The sequence below is a fragment of the Homo sapiens genome, chromosome 3, assembly GCF_000001405.40.
Source record: "Homo sapiens chromosome 3, GRCh38.p14 Primary Assembly".
In the NCBI taxonomy this organism is placed as follows: Eukaryota; Metazoa; Chordata; class Mammalia; order Primates; family Hominidae; genus Homo; species Homo sapiens.
The window spans coordinates 103,737,844-103,740,321 of record NC_000003.12 but is presented as its reverse complement, the minus strand read 5'-3'; positions in this window follow the sequence as shown (position 1 = coordinate 103,740,321).

Sequence of the window (2,478 nt, the reverse complement as noted above, 5' to 3'; positions counted from 1 at the left end):
CCTTCTGCCATGTTGTAAGTTTGCTTGGGCTTCCCTAGCCATGCTTCCTGTACACCCTGTGGAACTGTGAGCCAATTAAACCACTTTTCTTTTTACATTACTCAGTTTGAGGTATTTCTTTATAGCAATGAGAGAATAGACTAATACAAATATTTATTGTTGAATTAACTGTTTCATCTTTAAGCCCTAATTATTTATGCTATCTCCAACACATGTGAAAAGATTACTGAGTACAAATGAATTCTAAAACATTTAATGAATTTTTTCCACTGAAAATAAGTATTTTATAGCCAATTGTACTGTTGAGATAAACTTTATAAAGTTTGAAATGTTACAGTGCGTCAAAAACATGAAGGCACAATTGTTGGTAAAATATTCATAATATGTTAGTACATTATGGAATGAATGTATCCTGGCAGAAACAGTCTGGCCACAATTCATGAGAGGAGAAATTTAACCAAGGAATGTCCCACTCCCTCCTGTAAAACAGTTTTTTTTTAATCTAAATTAACAATATGTACAATGTTTATACGGAAAATAATTGTAAAACTTTCATTCTTAATTACTAATAACATATAAAAATTGCAATCTATAATATAAATAAAAATTTAATAAGTACAAATTTTTCATCCATTAAACATTTTAGACATGAGAATTTTCAGAAGGTGCACTTTTATTAAGGTATAAAGAATTATGCAGAGAGGCTGGGCATGGTGGCTCATGCCTGTAATCCCAGCACTTTAGGAGGCCAAGGCAGGTGGAACACTTGAGGTCAGGAGTTCCAGACCAGACTGGCCAATATGGTGAAACCCCATCTCTACTAAAAATACAAAAAAATTTAGCCGGGCATTGTGGTGGGTGCCTGTAATCCCAGCTATTCGGGAGACTGAGGCAGGAGAATCACTTAAGCCTGGGAGGTGGAGGTTGTAGTGAGCCGAGATCACGTCACTGTACTCCAGTCTGGGCAACAAGAGCGAAACTACGTCACAAAAAAAAAATTAAAAAAAAAAAGAATTATGTAGAGAACTATAGTTGCTGTCAAAATAGCTAATATATAACATACAAATAGTTGACAGTTACAAGATGATGAACTATTTACCAAAAGAATATGCATCATAGAGGAATTAAATCTCAGTTGGCCTGAAACAATTTTTCTTGCTTAAGATACAAATTAGTGGGTCACTTCTTAAAATAATCAATGATTTCATACTATTTCATCTGAATGAAATGACCTAAAATTTCTAGAGTTGAATCTTCAAAGGTAAGTATAATTTTATGGAGCCATTTTATTAAACATGCTTATTTGCTTTTCTGTTTTAAATGAAATCTTATTAATACTATCGGTTTTACATAATTTGGAAATTTAATAATTAGCTATGTTTTTATTTACATTTTATCTTCAATAGAAAATAGCTTTTCCAAACAGAAATTAGCTTCTTTTTCTTGAATCACTTTTAAAATAAAAGTTATCCCATGAATTTTGAAATGAACAAACACATACATGTGAGGTAATTGGGCAGGTATATATATGCTGTTCACATTTTCTATAATGATGGTCAAAGTTCCTAGGAAGTAAACATCAAGTATACTTACAATAACCACTCCAAAGCTCTTAGTGGGGAAATTTTAAATTCAAATAGGATATAAATAACTTAAAGTGCTATAATGACAATTATATTTTATAATACTGATACACAATTGCTTTTTCTTCTATAAAAGCAGAGAAATAATTATTGCTGGATTTTGAACATTTTGTATAATAAAAGTAGTCAAATGTAGTATCATCAATATGTATGCATTTCCTCTTACCAACCCTGCTATTTCTACTTCACTTCAAATTCAAAATCTATGATAGTGTGGAAGAAAAAATAAATTCACATTTTAAATGGAAGTATACAATGAGAAGCCTTCCTCTACAACAGTGGTTTTAGAGTTGAACAAAAGACAGCAGTATTTTTGGGTATATAAACTCATTCACAGAATGCTAATAAATAAAAAGACAATAAACATGAAGTTATGTCCTGCCTGATTCTTCCCTTAAAAACCCTAATCGCAGAGAAACCTGAAGTTTTACAAAGCAATTTGAAAACCACTGTTCCATAAATATATTCTGTTTTTTGCTTTTTATAGTGGAGTTGTAACTAAGTTTGTTTTTGCTTTTTTTTTTTTTTTTTTTTTTTTTGAGACGGAGTATCACTCTGTCGCCAAGCTGCAATGCAGTGGAGATCTCGGCTCACTGCAGCGTCTGCCTCCCAGGTTCAAGTGATTCTCCAGCCTCAGCATACGGCGTAGCTGGGACTACACACGCACGCCACCACACCTAGCTAATTTTTGTATTTTTCATAGAGACGGGGTTTCACCATGTTGGCCAGGATGATCTCAATCTCTTGACTTCGTGATCCGTCCACCTTGGCCTCCCAAAGTGCTGGGATTACCTGCATGACCCACCACGCCTGACCTGTTTTTGCTTATTCTTTA